General features: G+C 40.8%; 1 protein-coding gene across 2 annotated transcripts in view; it reads right to left on the bottom strand.

Moving 5' to 3' along the window:
* The window catches only part of MAGEA11 (MAGE family member A11), a 29,076-nt gene extending 6,734 nt beyond the window's left edge, over positions 1-22,342 (bottom strand). Inside the window, exons 1-3 of one of the 2 annotated variants that reach the window (XM_047442106.1) lie at positions 22,247-22,342; positions 21,551-21,697; positions 6,313-6,429 (exon numbers count right to left, since the gene is read on the bottom strand). Coding sequence is in view for 1 of the 2 variants with exons in the window: in NM_001011544.2 (NP_001011544.1) it covers positions 21,551-21,559 (9 nt within the window). In the remaining variant the exon portion in view is untranslated. The remainder of the gene's footprint in view (positions 1-6,312; positions 6,430-21,550; positions 21,698-22,246) is intronic. The other variant, NM_001011544.2, reaches the window with a different exon arrangement.

The following is a 23,410-nucleotide window of genomic DNA, read 5'->3' as shown; positions in this document are numbered from 1 at the left end:
CAGTGCTGCAGTGAGCTGTGTTCACACCACTGCACTCCAGCCTTGGAAATAGAGTGAGGTCCTGTCTCAAAAAAACAAAACCAAACCAAACAATCAAAAACCAACAGATGCCTGAGCTTGACAGTCATCTTGGCTGGTTAAGGAATTACGTCTGTCAATTTTTGAAAAAATAGAATTGCCATCTTTGCAATATTCTGTTCCCTATCAATGATATCATATACTGCCTTGTTTATTTGGGTGCTCTTTGAACTGGATATATCAGTACTTGTATAGTTGCCTCAGTAAAAATCATACATGCTTTTGTTAGTCTTCTTGTTAGGTAATTTTTGGATATTGTTGCTATTGTGAATGGGGTATTTTCTATGACCTGTTCTTAATAGTTATTGTCTGTTTTGCAAATCTTTTGATTTTGCTTTATTGATCTTCTGTTCGCTATTTTTCACACGTCTCTTATTCATTTGACTATTTCAAGTGTGCATTTTTTTGAATTTTCTAGATAGACTGTTGCATTACCCTACCAAATATCACTCTTTCTTTCCAATACACATACCTCTTATTTATTTTGGTATCCATATCTGTGGCTTTGTATTCCAATACAACTTTGAAAAATAGCAATGATAGCATACATTTATGACCTGTGCCTGACATGAATGCGTCCAACATTTTACAATTAAGTATATTTGCTATCAATTTGATGAAACAAAATTTCCTTCTACTCTTAATTTTCTAGTTATTTTTATCATGGATGATTACTAATTTTTTCAAAATATTTTTCTGTATCCATTAATATGATCATATGTTTTGCCTCTATAATCTTGTTAATATAGGGAATCACACTGAAGGTATATTTTAATGTCAAATTGTATTTTCATTCTTTGGATATATCCCGTTTTTCCATTTAGTACACTGCCCTAATGAATTGGCTATTAATTTATTTAGGATATTTGTTGCTATGTGAGTAACTTTGGTTTAAGTGTTCTTTTCATGGTGAGGTCCTCTTCTGGTATTTGAAACAAAGAACACTAGTCTCAGAAAATGAGTTCCACAGTTGCCCATCTTTTTGTATGGTTTTTAAGAGTTTGCTTAGGATGGCAATGAGTTCTAATTATTTGGTAAAACTGGCCTCTGAAACTTTCTTTTCCTGGATCATTTGTGGGTGGCTTGAACTGAGAATACAGTTTTAGTTTGTAATGTTTGATTAAAGTTTTCTGTTTCTTTATGGACCAATTTGATCTTTTTTTTTTTTTTTCGAGACAGAGTCTCGCTCAGTCGCCCAGGCTGGAGTGCAATGGCACAATCTCAGCTCACTGCAACCTCCTCCTCCCAGGTTCAAGCAATTCTCCTGCCTCAGCCTCCTGAGTAGCTAGGATTTCAGGTGTGCGCTACCACACCCGGCTAATTTTTGTATTTTTAGTAGAGACGGGGTTTCACCATATTGTCCAGACGGGTCTCGAACTCCTGACCTCGTGATCCACCTGTCTCGGCCTTCCAAAGTGCTGGGATTGCAGGCGTGAGCCACTGCGCCGGGCCATTTTTTTTTTTTTATAAAATATAGTTCATTTCACTTAGGATTTCAAATTTAATGGCATGATATTATGATGAAATAACTTTATTAAAGTGTCAGACATGTAAAATAGTATAGTATAATATACCCAATATACTTGATATTCAGCATCAAAAATCTTCAATCCATTACTAATCTGTTTCCAACTATACTTCTACCTACCCCACGTCTCAAATGCTGGAATAATGTAAACCAACTCAGTAACCTTGGATAGAATACTGGATCCAATAAGCCAGTTCATGGTACAGTGCAGCTGACCTGGCTCTGAGACAGCCTATGGCTCAGAGAAAAGGGTCTGGCTTCAATAGACCAGCCTCCCTAGACCCCTACCTCCTACTCTCTGTTCCAGGGTCCTGAGGTACTGCACGCCTTTGTTCTCTTCTAGACACATGCTCCTATAATACTGCTAGCTAATACTGCTTTCCAGACACCCTTGGGTCTCTCTCCAAATATCTTCTCTGTGAGGCCTTCTATGAATAACCTTTCTTTTTCTTCATAGAATTTGTGTCTTTATTATTTATTTTTGTAATTTCACTTTCATTTTAGATTCAGGGGGTACGTGTGCAACTTTGTTACATGGGTATATTGTGAGATGCTGAGATTTGTGATATTATTGATCCCGTCACTCAAGTAGTGAGCATAGTACCCAATAGTTGGATCCTGACCTTTCATCATATACAAAAATTAATTCGACATGGATTAAAGATTGAAATGTAAGACCTCAAACTACAAGAATCCTAGAAGAAAACCTAGGAAACACCATTCTGGATATCACCCTCGGGAAATAATTTATGACTATGTTCTCAAAAGCTATTGCAACTAAAACAAAAATTGACAAGTTAACCTAATTAAACTCAAAAGCTTCTGCTCAGCAAAAGAAACTATCCACAGAGTAAGCAGACAACCTGCAGAATGGAAGAAAATATTCCCCAACTACGCATCTGACAAAGGTCTAATATTCAGAATCTATAAGGTGCTTAAACAATTGAACAAACAAAAACAAATAACCTCATTAAAAAGTGAATACCCTTTCTAAAATTGCAATCCTCCCTCTTAACTCATCCCAAACACTTATTCAGTTCTCTAGATTCAATTTGTTTCCATAGTATTTATCACCATGTCAACCAAAATTAAGACTGGTTAGGCAAAAATAAGAGGATAAATGTTTATTGGAAGCCAAATGTGAGGACTGACCTGGGAGGAGAAACCAACAAAGTTGGGAGTGTTCTGGAGAGTCTTACAAGTTGGAAGGGTTTTATGAGAGTTTAGAACAAGAGAGAACTTTTTATATGGCAGTTGTCGTTTTTTATTAGAGGATACAATACGGAGGTTAGAATCATTGTACCAAATTGCAACATACAGACTAAAATGTCCATGTGCAAAACAACCAGTAAAATTTCATGATTTAAAAATAAATCAGCAAACTTTTCAATGTTGGTACATTACATATTAATCCATATGTAAACAATTTGTGGAATGCAGGATAAGACACTTTACTGAGGGACAGGATGGCAACAGAAATCACAAGACCTCCCCCAGGTGAGTTCATTTGGAAGCCTACCAAAGGTGATTTGGAAGTTAACCATTAAATCTACTGCACCTTTAAGTTTGTTTCATGATTTATTGTGTGCCTACCCTTTACCTCACTAGAATGTAAGTTCCACCTAGGGAGGAAATGTGTTCAATATTGTATCCTCAGAGCCCAGGACAGTGCCTGGCACACAATACATGCTCAGTATTCATTTATGGAATGAATAAAGAACTGCCAGTTCTATGGTCCTAGTATTTGGAGCTTCTCTGGTACTAAAGTCTCATGGAATTTTCAATCTTTCCAAACACCCAACAGCCAAAGTTTGAATGCTCCCACTATCTTCTAATTGTTGGCTCCTGGACCAGGTAAGCATCTGAGTTTTAAAGGGACTCCAAAGGCCTGCTTTCCCAGCTTCTGGTTTGTGCTCCTCACATCCTGGGTAAGTGAGCATGGCAGGGCTCTAGCCACCCAGGGCTATCTGAACACTCTCTCTTGTCAGGAGGCAGCTGTGACCTTTCCCTGATGCCCTGTTTCTTTTTCCATCTTGTTTGGATATGCAAGTTAACACAGTAGTCCTTGCAAGGTGGAATCTAACAGCCTAATTGTACCTGTTGGGATTTGGGGTTTCCTTCTCCTGAGGCCCATCTCTGAGCCCCCATCACCTTGGCTGCAGTGCCCACACTTGCCCACAGTCTCCCGTATCTGACTTCAGTCTTCCCAACTGGGGCTTGGAATTGCAGCTCTCCAATACAACTACTCAAGACTCAGTGCTGAGGCTTATGAACAGTTAAACTTTTATTTAAAATTCTCTACTTAGAAATCCCCTTCCAAAGTATTATGGTTCAGATAGAACTGGCAGAAGATGAGGTAGCCATTTGGTGAGTTTCCTAGGGGTTGGTAAATAATAAAAGAATGCTGTGTGAATGAGTGACAAATCACTATAATGATGACTTACTTTTCAAATGATCCCCTATGTAATGCCCACACATTAATTAAACTAATCACCTCGTTAAGGCGCCTATGAGTTTTTGCTTTCTAAACTTGATCCAGAGAGGTGATGCCGAACTGTTTTGTCAGCTACCCAAAGAGCCATCTAGGATCTCGGTGTACCCCCAAAAAGTTTAAGAAGACTAATGGGTGAAACCCACTGTGAGGTCTGTGGTCATTAGTATACTCCTCCAGGTCCCAGAATATCCTCAGGTCAAATTAGGATTTGGAAAGGAGCCAGGAAGGGTAAGGCTTTCTTGTTACCAAAGGGCATAGGCTGTGATGAGTTTGGAAAAGTGTGAGAAGGATCACCTGCTGGATCCATCTATAGTGCCTTAGGCTGGCCACGGGAGGAATGTAGAAGTAAAATGGGACTGGAGGTGAGCTGGAGCCCTGCAAGATGTCATGAACCGAGTGCTTCCAGAAAGAACTCCAGAGCAGACTGCTTTGTCGCACTCCAGGATGACAACTGTGACACTTAGTGCCCTTTGTTGGAGAGAAACGACGGATGGGGAGAATGCTAACTCTAGGATGCCTAAGTGTTGCAGGGCTAGAGCAGCTAGGGGGTCTCACAGCACCCCACCAACAGCCTCTTCTGGAGGCATTTCCAGGGTCTAGCATATCCCACAGCAGCCTCCTGTGTGGTTACACACCACAGAGGATGGAGGCAATCCTGACCAGGGTAGGGCAGAGCAGATGGGGGCCTTCCTGTGCCCATACATGGGAAGGTCCTGACTGTCTCTAGATGTCCTGAGCCTGCCCACTGAGGGACTGATGTGAGGCCTGTCAGCCATGGTCCTGCTCTCCTAAGAGACCTCTCTGTTCCACCAGCTATGACTGAAACCCTGCACTTAACTTCAGCTTCCTTGGCAAGGGGCTGACCTCCTGCATGCTTCTTGAAAGCTGTATTAGTCCATTTTCATGCTGCTGATAAGGACTTACCCAAGACCTGGCAATTTAAAAAAGAAAGGGGTTTAATTGGACTTACAGTTCCACATGGCTAGGGAGGCCTCACAATGATGGCGGAAGGCAAAAAGGAGCAAGTCACATCTTACGTGGATGACGGCAGGCAAAGAGAGCTTGTGCAGGGCAACTCTCATTTTGTAAAAACCATGAGATCTCGTGAGACTCATTCACTATCACGAGAACAGCATAGGGTAACTGCCCCCATGATTCAATTATCTCAAACCGTGTCCCTCTCACGACACATGGGAATTATGGGAATTATGGGAGTACAATTCAGAAGGAGATTTGTGTGGGGACACAGAGCCAAACCATATCACCAGCTCTTCCCTGTGCCAATTACCCTGTCAGCTTTTCCTGAGCAAATAAGGAGTCCTGGGTCTCCTTTTATCCTTGATCCCAGGGCTGGAGCTGAACATAGGGATAGCGGGGGCTAGTGGCAGGATGCTTGTTATGTCCCAAGGGAAATCCACAAAATAGCATCAGAGGACAAAGCCAAGGTTGCCCATCACTCAGACTGAGGGTCAGTGCAAACAAGCCCTGCAGACACTGACACCTACGTGGATGCAGTGAGAGTCCACATGTCTCATGAGCACTGCGCTCCGTCCTACTTGCCCCACCATGTATCTGGTTGCCAGCCTGCTCAGTGGAGTTGGCTCGAAGGAAATTGTTGAGTCATCTAATCTGCTGAGAATAAAAGAGACCAGGCCAGGCAGGTACACAGCAAGGCAGGGCACATGTCTGGACATAATAGCAGCCTCTGGAAGACTGGACTTCTGATATCCATGTCAAATGGTTGCTGTAGCTTAGCCTGGGCAACTGCACTTGGGCCATGAGCTGCCAGGGTACCCTAAAGGTCAATGGAAGTCTTCCTGGAGGCTGGACTTCCTGGCATATATTTGAGGTTCTAAGCCTGCTTCAGGCTCCACCATCTTCTCACTTGATTTATCTCTGGGATCCCTTTGTTTTATTTGTGTGTAATGCATTTTATCTTGCTGTGTTACGTACTTCTTTGTAGCCTGCTCCAAATATTTTCTGAATGAAGCAGGAGTGAAAAAAAGGGGGAGGAAAATAGTGAGCGAAGTCCCTTCTCAATCCCACTTAACTCTTTAATGTCTTCACCTCATCTGCATTCCCCTCTGGATCCCCAGTGTTCTGTTAATGGAGCACAAGCTCATTGCAGGGGTCGCGGTTCTGAACTGCAGCCCATCTGGAGCTCTCAATGCAGAAACTTGTCCATCTTCACACCCTTTATCCTAGGACCCACCTCTCCTCCACAGCATTTGTCTCCATGTCATATGGATAGAACAGGAGAGAGGCCATTGGGTAGGATTCTGTTTCAAGCTTTCACTGGCACCACCACTTGGCTCCTTTAAGATCAGTCCTAGGGGCATATTGATAGGGCAATAGTTAGCAGTGGAAGATGGCTGGCACTCCCTTGTTTGTGGGTTGCAGCTCAACCCAGTACAGAGACAGGGCTTTGAACCCATAAGAAAGTAAGTTTGAATATTAGCTCTGTCGCTTATAAGCCCATACATCAAGTATCCTTTATGTACTTCAGTTTTTTCATCTGTAAAATGGGAGTAATAATAGTACAACTTCAGAGTGTTTATGTGAGCATCATATAACATGCCACTTGTATGTAAAATGTTTGGCCCTAATAATGTGGTCATTAATAAGTGGCTATTATTATTGTGTGCCCATGATGTACCTTCCCCCATATTTTAATATTCCTGAACCTGTATATGTCTTATGATCCACATGTGCATTAATTAACGCATTTATTTTCTTTTCCCCTTGAAAATCTGTTACCTTGGATTGTTTAATCCCACATCTTTGAGCTGTATAGACATGATATAACTTGTTCTAGTCCTGCTTGGGGCAATAACCAGGGCTATTGAACCAGGACCTAGATCAACACATAGGTCTGTGAGAGTTGCTTTGAAGAATTCCTCCAGGCTCACCCTCCCTGCATCCAATCTCACACCCCAGAGCTCTGCAAGGGAGAGTCCTCCAGGTGAACACACTGAATGCCAAAGAAAAGGTCCCACACTGTGCCTGACCCTGGCTGCCCAGGTTCACATCTCTGAGGAGTACTAGAGCCACATTCCAAATTCTCCACACCACTGCTTGCACTTCATTGGGATGGCTCAATGGTTATTTTAAAAAGTACATTGTTCCTTGCACAAATGTTTTTGTATTTTGAAAAAGCCTAGAGTTACCTACTTTCCAAGTATAAATCTCTTTTTGTGCCTAACATGTTGTCAATTTTCTTTTCTCCCTATCTTAAATTTAAAGGAGCAGATAAAGGCAATCTTATGTGCCCAGAAAGAAGAGAACCAAATATTTGTGACCAGCCCTGATATGCACAACTGAGGTCATTTTAGAGGAGGAAGCTGAGGCCCCTTTTCTCCATCTGCTTGTCATTGCTCTAGTCTAGGCCTGCTCTTATCCTGTGGGAATCCTCAACCCTGGACATTCCAGCCTCTTAACAGTTACTGTATGACAATAGCAACACAAAGAAGTAGGGAGAGAATGGAACTGTATGTGAACAAACCCATTGTATACTATTTTAATTAAGTTGGTATTAATTTAAATAGATTGGTACAAGTTAAACTATCAATTGTAGTCCCCAGGACAACTGCTAAGAAAATAATACCTTAAATGGCAATGGGATTAAAATGGTAGACTAGAAAAACATATATTTTTCACAAAGGAAGGTAGCATTGAAAATATAAAGAAGGAAAAATACATATGTAATATAAAGAGTAAATCACTGACTACAACACAGAAATATTACCTTACCAGTAATCTTAAATGTAAATGGATTAATCACCTCGATTAAAGTCAGAGATTGGGGAAATATATTTTGGAATCCTGTTCTAACTATATACTGATTATTTATAAGAGATTTATATAGATGTATACATCTAAATACATAAATAGGATGAAAGTAAGTATATGGGAAAAGATATATCATACAAGCAGTAACCAAAAGAGAGCTGGAATGGCTATGCTAATACCAGACAAAATAGACTTTAAAATAAAAGTTGTTACTAGAGAAAAAGAAAGATATTTTATAATGATGATAAAAGTTTTAGTCTATCAAAAATATGAAACATTATAAACATATATGTACCTAATAACACAGACCCCAAAATATAGAAAGAAAGAATTAAAGAGAGAAATAAATAATTCAACAATAATTATTGGAGACTTTAAACCCTAATTTCAATAAAGGTATAACAAGATAGAAGGTCGCCATGACTATAGAATATTTCAACAACAATATAAACCAGCCAGACCTAACCCCCAATTATAGAACACAGCACCCAAAACAGCGGAATATTTTTCTCAAGTATACATGGATCACCTTTCAGGATAAACAATATGTAAGCCCACAAAACAAGTCTCAATAAATATAAGGGGATTGAGATTGTACAAAGTACTTTATCTGTCTGCAATGGAATAAAATATGAAATTAACATCATGCTACCTGACTTCAAACTATACTACAAGGCTACGGTAACCAAAACAGCATGGTACTGGTACCAAAACAGAGATATAGATCAATGGAACAGAACAGAGCCCTCAGAAATAACGCCGCATATCTACAACTATCTCATCTTGGACAAACCTGAGAAAAACAAGCAATGGGGAAAGGATTCCCTATTTAATAAATGGTGCTGGGAAAACTGGCTAGCCATATGTAGAAGGCTGAAACTGGATCCCTTCCTTACACCTTATACAAAAATTAATTCAAGATGGATTAAAGACTTAAACGTTAGACCTAAAACCATAAAAACCCTAGAAGAAAACCTAGGCATTACCATTCAGGACAGAGGCATGGACAAGGACTTCATGTCTAAAACACCAAAAGCAATGGCAACAAAAGACGAAATTGACAAATGGGATCTAATTAAACTAAAGAGCTTCTGCACAGCAAAAGAAACTACCATCAGAGTGAACAGGCAACCTACAAAATGGGAGAAAATTTTCACAACCTACTCATCTGACAAAGGGCTAATATCCAGAATCTACAATGAACTTAAACAAATTTACAAGAAAAAAACAAACAACCCCATCAAAAAGTGGGTGAAGGATATGAACAGACACTTCTCAAAAGAAGACATTTATGCAGCCAAAAAACACATGAAAAAATGCTCACCATCACTGGCCATCAGAGAAATGCAAATCAAAACCACAATGAGATACCATCTCACACCAGTTAGAATGGCAATCATTAAAAAGTCAGGAAACAACAGGTGCTGGAGAGGATGTGGAGAAATAGGAACACTTTTACACTGTTGGTGGGACTGTAACCTAGTTCAACCCTTGTGGAAGTCAGTGTGGCGATTCCTCAGGGATCTGGAACTAGAAATACCATCTGACCCAGCCATCCCATTACTGGGTATATACCCAAAAGACTATAAATCATGCTGCTATAAAGACACATGCACACGTATGTTTATTGCAGCACTATTCACAATAGCAAAGACTTGGAACCAACCCAAATGTCCAACAATGATAGACTGGATTAAGAAAATGTGGCACATATACACCATGGAATACTATGCAGCCATAAAAAATGATGAGTTCATGTCCTTTGTAGGGACATGGATGAAATTGGAAATCATCATTCTCAGTAAACTATCGCAAGAACAAAAAACCAAACACCGCATATTCTCACTCATAGGTGGGAATTGAACAATGAGAACACATGGACACAGGAAGGGGAACATCACACTCTGGGGACTGTTGTGGGGTCAGGGGAGGGGGGAGGGATAGCTTTAGGAGATATATCTAATGCTAAATGACTAGTTAATGGGTGAAGCACACCAGCATGGCACATGTATACATATGTAACTAACCTGCACAATGTGCACATGTACCCTAAAACTTAAAGTACAATAAAAAAAAAGTTAACATATTTAAATTTCCAAAAAAAAAAAGAAATTAATAACGTTGGTAAATTTCAGATATTCACAAATTTGTGAAAATTAAACTACATACTCCTAAACAACCAACGGGCAAAAGAAAAAATCACAAAGGAAATTAGAAAATATTTTGACATAAATGATAATGAAGATATATATACACACATGGTCATGTACAAATGAACACCAGCTCATCGCATAGTTCAAGTGCACTAGCTTGCATTGTTGATTGCACAGTTTTAGAGAGACATGTTGATGACCCTATTTTGCCACTTCCAGAGACCAGATGTACTGTGCAATTAACCAGAAAACACTGATTTATAAAGCACGAAAATAAGAATCTCTTCTGAGCTTATAACTAAACATATCTAAACTATAATAAACATTAAATTCCAAGGACTTGATATGGTTTGGATCTGCATCCCCACCCAAATCTCATTTCGAATTGTAATCCCTACATGTCAGGGGAAGGACCATGTGGGATGTCATCAGATCATGGGGGAGGGTCCCCCCATGCTGTTCTCAAGATAGTGAGTGAGTTCTCATGAGAGCAGATGGTTTTAAAGTGTAGCACTTCCTCATTTGCGCAAACCCTCCATCCTGCAGCCTTATGAAGAAGGTGCCTGCTTCCCCTTAGTCTTCCACCATGATTGAAAGTTTCCTGAGGCCTTCTAGCCATGCTTCCTGTTAGGCCTGCAAAACTGTGAGTCAATTAAACTTTTTTCCTTTATAATTACTCAGTTTCAGGTAATATTCTTTATAGTGGTGTGAGAATGGACTAATACAGGACTACAGCTGTGCCTGAACAGGCTACATCAAAAATAATAATAAAAAAACTACTCCAAAAGATGAACAATGGCTACCTCTGCCAAATGGAAGAGTTTAGATGGGCTGCCTTCTCAAGTTGGGAACACAATCCTGTACATACGTGCTTACCAGTGCCACACCATAGATTTACAAGTCAGCATGGGTAACCCAATCAGAGACTATAAAATACCCCTCAATAAATACTTTGTTGCACAGCTTCAATAAGTGTGCTTATCTGACAGCCTAATATCTCTTTCAGGGACTAACTTTACAGCTGAAGTCACAATCTTCTAGGGGTGGCCACCAATCAATGATTAGGCAATGCAGTTTTAGTCAAGAACATACACTTCTCAGAAAGGCCACCAGCCAATGACTGAGCAAGTCGAGGGTAAAATGGCTTAGAAAGTCCCATAAAAGGGACCCCTCCTCCAAGCAATCTTTGCTTCAGAGCTCCAAATTGGACTAGCAAAGACTTTGTGAGATCTGCCCAAAAGACAAGAGGGAGAAATTGGGTATGTGCAATTGTTAAGTACTTACATGACATGCGAAATAATATATTATTTGAAGGTAGATTGTGATTAAGTAGAGATTACATTGTAAACTTTAGGGCAACCACAAAAAATTCACTAAAAGAGATATACATAATTAGGCAACAATGAAGATAAAATGGAATAATAGAAAAATGAGTGCCTATTCACAATAGCAAAGACATGGAATCAACCCAAATGCCCATCAATGATAGACTATATAAATAAAATGTGGTACATGTACACCATGGAATACTATTCAGCCATAAAAAGGAATGAGATAATGTCCTTTGCAGTGACATGAATAGAGCTGCAAGCCATTATCCTCAGCAAACTAATGCAGGAACAGGAAACCAAACATCACATGTTGTCACTCATACGTGGGAGCTAAACAGTGAAAACACAGGGAGGGGAACAACATACAATGGGGCCTGTCGGTGGTGCAAGGGAAAGAGAGCAACAGGAAAAATAGCTAATGCATGCTGAGTTTAATACCCAGAAAGCTGGGTGGCAGCCTGAGGGCCATCAACTCATGCATTTAATCAGAACAAAGAGGTACGCATCAAGCCTGGAACAAAGAAATATATTGTCTCACAAGACAATAAGCCCAGCACAGGCTGTGAGGGCTCTTTATCTCCCAAGAAGAAAATGTTCCAGGTACAAGGCCCATCTTATGCAGCTGAGCAGGTTGGTCAACAGACAGGACATGACTGCCTTTACCAACAATATTAAAAGGAGAATGTATCATTATTGAGATTTGTCTCAGAAATTCAATATTCACAAATCAATCTCTGTAATTAACTGTATCAACAGACTAAAGGAAAATGCATTTGATCATATTCAAATGATTAAAAAATTTTTATGATAAAAAGTCTAGACAAGTCGAATTAAAAAAGAAATAATTCAACTTGATATAGGACATGAAAAAAAAAAGAAAACCTCTACAGTTAACATCATACTTAATGATGGACTGGATAAAAAGCTGGGATGTCAATTCTGACCAATCCTACCAACATCTCTGTGAAAGTCCAGACCAATGTAATAAAGCAAGAACAAGATATTAAAGACATACTGACAGGAAAAGAAAAAAATGAAACCATCTCTATCTGCAGATGACATTGATTGTATTTGTCCCTTTTCACACTGTTATAAAAAAATACCCAAGACTGAGTAATTTAGACAGGAAAGAGGTTTAATTGATTAATAGTTCCACGTGGCTGAGGAGGACTCAGAAAACTTACAATCATGGCAGAAGGGGAAGCAAACATGTCCGTCTTCACAAGGTGGCAGGAAAGAAAAGTGCAGTGCGAAGGGGGAAGAGCCCCTTATAAAACAATCAGATCTTGTGAAAACTCAGTCAGTATCATGAGAACAGCATGCACCTGCAGGCCCAATACCACCTGGAAACCACCAAGGCTTGGGGCTTGCACTTTCTGAAGCAATGGCCTGAGCAGTACATTGGCCCCTTTTAGCCATGGCTGGGATGCAGGGCACCAAGTTTTGAGATTGCACAAAGCAGCAAGGCCCTGGGCCTGGCACACAAAACCATTTTTTTTTCCTTAGGCCTCAAGCCAGCCAGGAGTCCTGAATTCCTAGCCTTCCCACCCCTAGGAACCCCCTACCCCTGGTAGGGGCGAAAGCATCTGATGTCAAAAAGACTCAGGGGCATCATGGACCTTCCATATGGGTACAGGACTGCAGGACGTCCATCAGCCTCGAAAAGACCTCTCCACTGCCTTTCAGTTGCTAGCTTCTCAGACTCATAGGCCCAGGCGAATTACAATGGGGCTGCCGCTGGCCTGGGAAGAGCAAAAACTGTGGGGCCTTGCACGTAGCAGGAAAAGACTGGAAGGAGACTCAAGACCATGACAACTCCTTTCTGTGAGGAGCCCTGAGAGGGTGAATCGGTAATGATGGAGGGTGCCAAGTGAGAAGAATGTAATGAAGGGATGGTTGTGAAATTTGAGGAGAGAGGCGGTGAGGTCAGGGAAGAGATGTGGGGTCCTCAGGAGGGTGTTGAATAGGGAGAGGGCACAGGGTCAAGGGGTGTGGTGCTTGGGGTCTGCAGAGGATGTGGGGTCAGGAAAGGGTCTTAGGATTTCAGGTGTGGGGACACACAGTGAGGTCCCAGGAGTGGGGCCCATTGAAGTGGAGGCTCTGTTCTATCTGCAGTCTTGGTCCACACTCCTTAAGATTAACCAGAGAAACACGTAGAGGACAACAAGATAGTGAATATGGACAGAGCAGTGAAGATGCCAGTGGCCACGGAAAATACTATTTCTTCCATGCTGTCTCCAGGGAGTGCTTGCTGCAGTGTTTGATGGAAGGTACAGCAGTAGGAGTGGTGTCAGCTTCGACCTGCCCGAGCAGAGGGACAGTACTTGAAGGAAATGCTAGGGCCAGAAGCCATGTAAAAGCTTCCAAATGCACGTGTGTCAGGGCCAGCAGTGGCAGGAGGAGCCAGCAACCCAGACCCTATGACTCCTTCTGCGGGGATCAGTCAGATGGCCTTGGCATTGGTCAGACAGGAAGTGAGGTGGGTTAGGACTGAGAACTACCAGGAGTCAGCAGGGCACCACCAGCTTGGATCCTGAGTCTGGAAGAAGACCTATACCTGAAGCAGTGCCCCTCCTCCCTCGGATTTGCCCCAGGTCATCCCTAGGAGGCCATCCCATTCTTCTCCTGCCATCTCAGGAAAGTACATCACAGTGGAGGGCATAAGCCAGACCAGCACCCCCAACCAACCATCATCCCATGCGTGACTTTACACACAGATACTTTCCTACACACAAAGACCAATTCAAAGCTGCTTGTCACCATCTCTTAAGTGAATCTTTAAGAAGCCTAATGTGGCAGGGCTTCAGGTCAGGGCCACTTGATCAAACCCAGCACCTTCTGAATGACCACCAGGGCACACCGAGAATCTGCCTGGAGGAAGCCCAAGCCCTGCCCTGACTGCTTTTTCTCTACTTCACCTTTCTCTCCTCTTCCAGGAAATAAATTTGCTTATGCTGAGGGTCAGTTGTCACCAGTCTGACTTATTTCTTCCACTCTGTCCTACAACAGTGCTTCTGGACTCCAGGCAATGCTCCTCCAACCGCATCACCTGGGGGCTAGTTAGGAACCAGCATCTCAGGCCCCACTCAGCCCTAAGCAGTGAGAACCTACATATCAACAAGATTCACAGGAGACTCCTGTGCATGTCCCCATGTGCTAATCCAGACGTGGTGTTTCTTCTTTGTGCCTCTGCCTCAGGGAGTCTGTGACTCACTGAATTCAGGGTCCTCTGTTCATTAGTCAGGTGGAATCAGGCAGGATGTCCTGACTGGATCCTTTTCAGAATCTTCCGCCAACAAAATCATACCACATAGCAAGAGCTGCTTTCCACTTTCTGAAGTGGATGCACTTTTTTGCAATTTAACATTCCCAGCAACAATGTATGAGGGCTCTAATTTCTCTACCACCTTGTCAACACATTATTGTCATTTTTATTGCAGCCATTGTAGTTAGTATGAAATAGTATCTCATTTAGGTTTTGACTCGCATTTCCCTAGTGACTAACGAAGTTGAGCATCCTTTCATGTTCTTTTGGCCATTTGTAGATATTCTTTAGGGAAATTTCTGTTCATATTCTTTGCTCATTTTTAATGGTTTGTCATTATATGGTGGTATTGTAAATGTTCCTTATGTATTCTGGATACAACTTTCTTATCTGATACATAGCTTGCAACTGTTTTCTCTCAATCTGTGGGTTGTCTCTCTGTCTAGAGGTGCCTTTTAGAGCACAAAAAGGTTTTTTGTTTTTTTTTTGTTTTTAGTTTGAGGAAATCTAGTTTATCAATTTGTGTTTTTGTGGGGGAAAACTATGCTATAAATTGGAGGGAAAAATGCAACCTAGCCACAGTATGAGCTCAAGGAAGACATTTTTTGAAAGTTGAAATTGTCACATTATTTTTAGGTGTCAACGATCCAGTAAAGAGCAAGGATTAGCTAATAAAAGAGAAAAAATGAGACAATTTCAAGAGAAAAATGCTTGAGAAAGAGTCCATTCTAGGCTCTTAGATAGTGCTGGAATGCTTTGTCTTTTGTCAGAAAAGAAATGACAGAGAATGCAGGCATATTGGTGGCATCAGAGGCGAGATAAAGAGTGAACTGCCATCAAATAGCTTTCGTTTGCCTTATCAGAAAGGTGGAAAATTGGCCGGGTGTGGTGGCTCATGCCTGTAATCTCAACATTTGGAAATCCAAGGTGGGCAGATCACCTGAGGTCAGGAGTTCGAGACCAGCCTGGTTAACATGGTGAAACCCCATCCCTACTAAAATACAAAAGGTAGCCGGGTGTGATGACAGGTGCCTGTAATCCCACGTACTCGGGAGGCTGAGGCAGGAGAATCACTTGAACCTGGGAGGCAGAGGTTCCAATGAGCCAAGATCATGCCATTGCACTCCAGCCTGGGCAACAAGGGTGACACTTTGTCGAAATAAAATTAAAAAAAAGAAAAGAAAAGAAAGAAAGAGAAAGAAAAGAAATAAAGAGAAAAGAAAGAAAGAAAAAGGAAAATCATCAGATACTGTTGAAGGCTGGAGTGTTTTGGAGATTTGAGAAGATTCGAAATAGATTTTTTGCAGAGTGAGAAAGTGAATTCACTAGAGGAATTGAGCAAGTTGTCTCAAATACTTCAAAGGACATCATCAAAAAATTGAAAAGGCAACTCACAGAATGGGAGAAAACATATGTTAATCATAGGGATAAGGATCTAATATCCAGAATATTAAGAGAACAGTCACATTTTAACAATTAAAACACATAACCCCATTTAAAATGAGCAAAGGATTTGAATAGACAGTTCTCCAAAGAAGATACATAAATGCCCAATAAGCACATGAAAAGGTGCTCAACATCGTTAGTCATCAGGGAAACACAAATCAAAATCACAATGAGATACCACTTTACATACACTAGAATGGCAAAAATAAAAATGACAGACAATAATAGTATCTCTAAGGATATACAGAAATTAGAATCCTCATACACTACTGCTAGAAATGTAAAATGATGCACCTGCTATGAAAAACATTTTGGAAGATCCTCAGAAAGTTAAGAATGGAGTGTTACCTTATGACCCAGCCATTCCATTCCTAGTCCTACACCCAAAATAATTGAAAGCAAATAATCAAACACTTGTACATGAATGCACATAGACGCATTATTCATAATACCAAAAAGTGGAAATAACCTAAATGTCCATCAAGAGATGAATGTATAAGCAAAATGTATATACATACAATGAAATGTCATTCATCCTTAAAAAAATGAAGTGCTGATACACGCTATCACATGAATGAAGTTTAAAAATAATATGGTAAGTGAAAGAAGACAAACACACACAAAAAGCTACATGTTGTATGATTACATTATTATGAAGTTCCCAGAATAGGAAAATCTATGGACAAAAAGTAGATTAATTCCTGCCAAGAGCTAGAAGAAGAGGGAACGGAAAGTGATTGTTAATGAGGAGGTGTTTTCTCTTGGGGATAATGAAAATGTTCTGGAATTTGATATGGCACAACTTATTAATAGTTAAAAATAGTGAAATGATGGAATCATACTTTTGAAGTGGTAAATTTATGGTACATGTATTTTTTTAAAAAAGAAAGCAAACTGACAACACATAGAATTGTGGTGAAGAATAGGAAAGAGCATCAGTAGAGAGCCTCTCTGGGGTGCAGCCTACTGAGCTCATAAAAGCTGAAGAGGGGGCAGGAACTCTGATATAACACTCTCACATGATAGACCTCACTCTGCACACAGGTAGAGACAGATCACCATTGGGAGACTTTGAAGGTGATAGCAAAAACAAAGCCTAAACCCGGCTAAACTACTGAAGAAATTGACCACACACTTCCCTCACACACAAACTTACAACCTAGCTGAATAAGATACATTCCAATTTACATGCATTAATATTATTTACCTCAGCCTCTACTGTTCTTCTACACATGAGGACTGGCATTCAATAAAAATTATAAAATACAAAAAAATTAATAACTAGTAACTCATTTTCATGAAGAAAAGCAATAAACAGACCTGGACTCAGAAATGACCTAACTGCTGACTACATTACAAAGATACTTGAAAAGAATTGTGATTAATATGTGTATCAGTCCGTTTGCACACTGCCAACAAAGACATACTCGAGAGTGGGAAGATTACAAAGAGGTTTAATGGACTTACAGTTCCACATGACTGGGGAAGCCTCACAATCATGGTGGAAGGCAAGGAGGAGCAAGTCACATCTTACATGGATGGCAGCAAGCAAAAAGAGAGAGAGCTTGTGCAGGGAAACTCCCCTTCATAGAACCATCAGATCTCATGAGACTTATTCACTATCACGAGAACAGCAGGGGAAACACCTGCCCTTATGATTTGATTACCTCCCACCGGGTCCCTCCCACAACACGTGGGAATTCAAGATGAGATTTGGGTGGGGACACAGCCAAACCATATCGACATGTTAAAGAATATAGTGGAAAAACTGAACAATATGCATGAAGAGAAGTATCAAGAAAATCATGAATCACTGCACACACTTGTTAAAATAATTAATTGGGAGGCCATAAGACTGAAGCAGCTCTAGCACCCTGAGTTCCTATGTAAACAAACTGAAACTTTACTCAATACAAATGGAAAAATGAAACAAACTTTACCAAAGTTGGCCAGCTAACCTCTAACAGGGGCTTTGCCAATCAGAAACCACCAAACAACCACTAACTAGGGGCTTTAAGACTACTGCTCCACTTTTTTTTTTTTTGAGACAGGGTCTCACTCTGGTGCCCAAGCTGTTGTGCAGTGTTGTGATAACGGCTCACTGCAACCTATGCCTCTCAGGTTCATGTGATTCTCATGCCTTAGCCACCTGAATAGCCAGGATTACAGGTGTGTGTCACCACACCCAGGTGATTTTTGTATTTTTAGTAGAGATGAGGTTTTGCCAGGTTGGCCAGGCTGGTCTCGAACTCCTGACCTCAAGTGATCTGTCCACTTCAACCTTGTAATGTGCTAGGATTACAGGCATGAGCCACTGCTCCTGGCCCTACAGCTCCACCTAAACCAAAAAAAAAATATTTTCTTTGCCTTGCTTCTGCATGCACATCATAAAAGTTCTGCCCTCATGCCCTTTTGGTGAAGCCCTGGACCACTTGTGGTTTTATGCTGCCCAATTCATGAATTGCTGTTTGCTGAAATAAACTCTTTACAATTTTAATTTTTCTAAGTTTATCTTGTAACACAACTATTTTCAGTTTACTGTACATATTGAAACAAATAACTGATCTCTGAGCGATGAGAGATAGAAAATAAAGTGAGCCCTAAAATTTCCTTAGCTTACTGCCTGGAGGGCAGAGTACACAGCAGGAAAGCCTTGATGTTTTTTGAGTTGAGGAGGTAGAATTTAGAGGACAGGGAGACTAAAATTTGCAGAACAAAATAATGAAGAGGAGAAAGCGGTACAGAGAGAAATCTCCAGAGCTTACATGGGTTTGAGGATAGTTCTTGTTTCCTCTATTCAGAGTGAAAAACTTTATAAAGCATGGGACATCAGCTAAAAACCTTAAGAGCGTTTTGTCCAGGTTATGAGGCATTATAAGCTATAGACTAAAAACTGCTCTGATCTCACCTAAAAAGAGCAAGACTTGAAAAAAATGCCACTATTTTCAAGAAACTTACCCATGCTGAAGAATAAATCCCAATAATATTTTATAGAAATACAAAACTATCTAGCACTCAACAAAGTAAAATTCAAAATGTCTTCCATCCAATCACAATGACCAATTTTGTAAAAAAGCAGAAATTAGGATCAATAATGAGGATAAAACACACACATGACACTGATAATAGAGATTGTAGGCAAAGACATTTAAAAATTTATGAATGTATATGAGAACCACAAAGCAGAGGGGAAAATGAGGGATAAAAAAATACTTGAGGAAATAATGAAAAGTTTTCAGGTTTGATAAAAACTATAAACCCCAAAATCTAATAAACTAAAAAAAAAATCGCAAAACAATAAACATGTATAAAGGTATACCAAGGCATTTGATAATCATATTGTTTAAAATCACTGAGATTTTAAGAAGAAATCACAAGAAACTTTTAAAAGTAAACAGAGATACAAATTATGTACATTACCTACAAAGGAACAAAGATAACGATGACAGCAGATTTCTTTTGAAAGATAATGAAAGCCAGAGGAGAGTACTATATTTAAATATTGAAGGAAACAAATACTAAAGACGTAAACTTCTATATTGATGAAAATATATTCCAAGAATAAAGATGAAACACTTTTGTTTCGGGAATGCAAAATTAGAATGAATTTATCACCAACATATGTGCACTAGAAGAAATGTTAAAGTAAGTCCTCCAGGCAGATGGAAAGTGATGCCAGAGAAAAATCCGGATCTACACAAAGGAATCAAGAGCCCTAGAAGGTGCAACTGCATGCATAAGTATAAAACATATTTTCCTTATTATGTAATGTCTTCATAGCAAAGTAACTGTTTAAAATAACAGTACTTAAAGGTATTAAGTTAAAAATAGCAATGTATGATGTGGCTTACAACATATGTAAATGCAAAATGTATGCTTAGAATAGACCATAGGATGAGAAGGGGGAAATGGAAGTATACCGTTGGTTTTTATGTATCTGACTATTCTAAGTGCCAATGGGTAGAGCTGAATAGAGATGACTGTTTTCCTCATTGCACATGAGGTATACTAATAAGGTGAGCCTGCACATAACAAGACATTTTTAAAAAACACTCATCGTTTATTATGTGAACAGAGAGAGTGCTGTGAACTCCAGACAATTACTCTGTAATATTCCTTAAATGAGAAACTCTTATAGAAAGAACTTTACCTTGTTTTCTTAAAGGAAATTAAGAGACATATCTCTAATAAATTTTGGTTGAGATGAAGCCATCTGAACATCAGTCAAGGGGATTGTGCACCATGTGCGGAAGCAGAGGCAACAGGTAAAAGTAAAATGAGTCAAGATCCTTGCTCTTGTTGAGCATGCTTGTACATGGTCTAAGAACACTCTCAAAAGAAGGAAACACAGTGAACATGCCCATAGTGCTGTTTGGTGATGATAGGCAGTAGCAGGGGCCTCTTTCCCGGAGGAGAGGCTGAAGCAGGGCTAGGAATGAGGTTAGAGACAGAGATTGGGGCCAACACTAAGGAAGATCCTTGCAAAATTCTCAGAGGGATAGTGGATTGGAGGGAGGGAGGGTAAACAGTCCCATTTTGAGAATAGAGAATAGATAAATATGTAGAAGAACAGTGTGTGCCTACGTGTGTTTAGGTCAGGGGTAGGACAATGAAGAACTGGGTAAACAAGAGGTGACATGGTGAGGTATGCTGATGATAAAAAGATTGGGGGCTATCAGTTGTTGGCAGGGCTGGAGAGCCAGGAAGCAAAATTGGGATTCAGTGCATTGGGCAGAATGGCATCCACATAGATATGTGCCTGTGCAGGGGCATGATGAAGCCCACCTTTGAGGAAGGTCTTCTAGCACAGGGCTTTCCCAGCAGTGCAGGGGCATCCCCAGTGTTCTGTAGCAGGTAAGGCATCAGGGCCCACTGCCTAAAGGAGGGAGAAAGGATGCTGGGCGAACAGGACTCTGGGACTAGAGTGCTCACTTCAGCCAGACTGCTCTGCCTTCTAATGTTCATAAATTGGAGTTCTATGGAAGGCTTCAGTTAAAATAAGGGATTCTATGTCTAAAATTTGGCAACCATGGTCTACTAGTGAGATATGGGATGCATTGTGGTGTCCTGGCATCCTCTACTTGTGCCTAATATTGCTTTCAGCCCTTTGCTTCACTGACTTTAGTTACTGCAAAGTTGCCAGCTGCCTAGAACACACTAGATTAGAAGAGGTTTAACAAGGAAGTGTGTACCATCTCCATGGGTTTTCCATCTACCCTCCAAATATCTGCACTTTAAACCAATCCTCTATTCCAGACATTATCTGCTGACATATAGACCCACTTTTATAGTCACAGGACACAGGTTCTCTGTTGTGACAAGGACGCAGAAACCATGGGAGGCATTCTGAGCTGGGAACATCATCTGGATCATTTTTCATAGCCCTTTATCTATAGTTACTGAATTAGTTGGTCCTGGGCATTCCCACTCCAGCTTACCCCTCCTTGCAGATGCACATTCCCTTACCTTGCTCATTGGTATTCCTAGCCTGTATCAATGGTCAGCCATCAGTCACCAGCTCCACTTGCATAGCACCCACCTCTATGAAAGGGGTCCAGTGTACACAGGAAAAAAATTGTCAGCCTCCACTGGGGGTCAAGACAGCTCCCTGCCCTGGTGAGAGTGCACAGGATTACTACAGTGATCAAGAGAATGACTCAGGCAGCCAGCTATACCCTTCCTGACAGGAGATGGGGAAATTTTAATGTAGGCTAATTGTATATGTATATGTATGTGTATGTGTATATGTATATGTATATGTATATGTATATGTATATGTATATGTATATGTATGTGTATATGTATATGTACATACATATATCACTCCATGATTCCTGACATTCTTATAGATCTTGTTATTTCCTAAGTGAGTAAAACAATACGAATATCTTTCATTAAAATATTTGTCCTGTTGTCTTTGGTTCCCGAAGCAGCTTCAGAACAGCTTCGGAATAGTAAAGGTGGAAGACAGTCTTCTGTTGTAATGTTGGAGTGCTTTAGGCCTCAGAAGGAGACCTCGGAAAACACAATCTCGCTTTCTAACTTTCTTTTGCCCCCCTTTCACCTTCTTCTTTTTCTCCCTAAGACAAGCCATAGAAACTAAAAACAGTCATCTCTCCTCACCTGTCTTAGAGCTGGTCATAAAGAAATTCTCTGACCTACCTTGTCTGATTGTAGGTCTTAAACTCCCATTTCAGAAGAGGTCCTGACCCATACCCTGGAGGACACAATGCTGCTCAGGGAGAACAGGAAGAATCTGAACAGACAGGCCTTGCTGGTTTCCCAACTCAGTCTCTTAGTATTAGGTTATATCTTTCTGTCCAATCATATTTCTACACATCTGTCCATGCTTCAATCATGCCTATCCAATGAAGTCTTAGTAAAAGGGTCAGGAGGACAGGATATTGAGAGCTTCTGAACAGCTGAATTCATGGAGGCTTCCAGAAAGGTGCATAAGAACTCATCCACGTGCCAGGAGAGTGCTGCACCCCAACTGCATGGGAACAGAAGCCCTTGCAGGGCAGACCCTCCAGAACTCGCCCTATGTACCTCTTTATATGGCTGTTTCATTGTGTCCTTTAAAATATCCTTTGTTATAAACCAGTAAACATAAATATCTCCCTGAGTTTTGTGAGCTGATCCAGCAAATCAAGCCTAAAGAAGGGGTCATGACAACCTGAAGTTGAAGCCAATCAGTTAGAAGTTCCAGAGGCCTGGACTTTTGACTAGCATCTGAAGAGAGGGCACTGTTGTGGGACTGAGTCCTCAACCTGTGGATCTGATGCTATCTCCAGATAGATAGCGTCAGAATGGAATTGAATTAAAAGGCACCTAGCTGGTGTCTGCTGTAGAATTGATTTCTTGCTTTTTGGTGAGGAGAAATCCCCATACATTCAGTCACAGAAGTCTTCTGTGTTGATTGTTGTGGTGTGAAAGCAGATGAAAACAGATGAAAGCAGATGAAATGCCCTGGTGCATTCAGCTACCGGGCCTGCTCACTCACATCACGTGGCCATGTTCAGCTGGAGATTATGGTTCCCAGATTTCCCAAGCCTATTCCTGCTCATTGTCCTGTCCTCCCTACTGCCTTTCCCCTTATATCCCTCAGGTCCCTGATCCCACTGGGCTGAACTCTGGATTGAGAGCTCTGAGTGCCAGCCTGCCTGGGGCTCTGTGGACTTGGTTGTGTGCGTGGTCTCTCTCATGGACTCTGGCAGTTGCCCTTTCTTGGATCCTCCTAATGCCCCTCATGAGCTGATGGTGTCCTGTCTTCTCTCCTTCCCTGCCATCTGGTCAGTCTGACTGCATTAGTCCATTCTCATGCTA

Source organism: Homo sapiens, chromosome X, assembly GCF_000001405.40.
Source record: "Homo sapiens chromosome X, GRCh38.p14 Primary Assembly".
Classification (NCBI taxonomy): Eukaryota; Metazoa; Chordata; class Mammalia; order Primates; family Hominidae; genus Homo; species Homo sapiens.
Note: the sequence above shows the minus strand (reverse complement) of the source record. Positions and strands in the feature narration are given on the sequence as shown.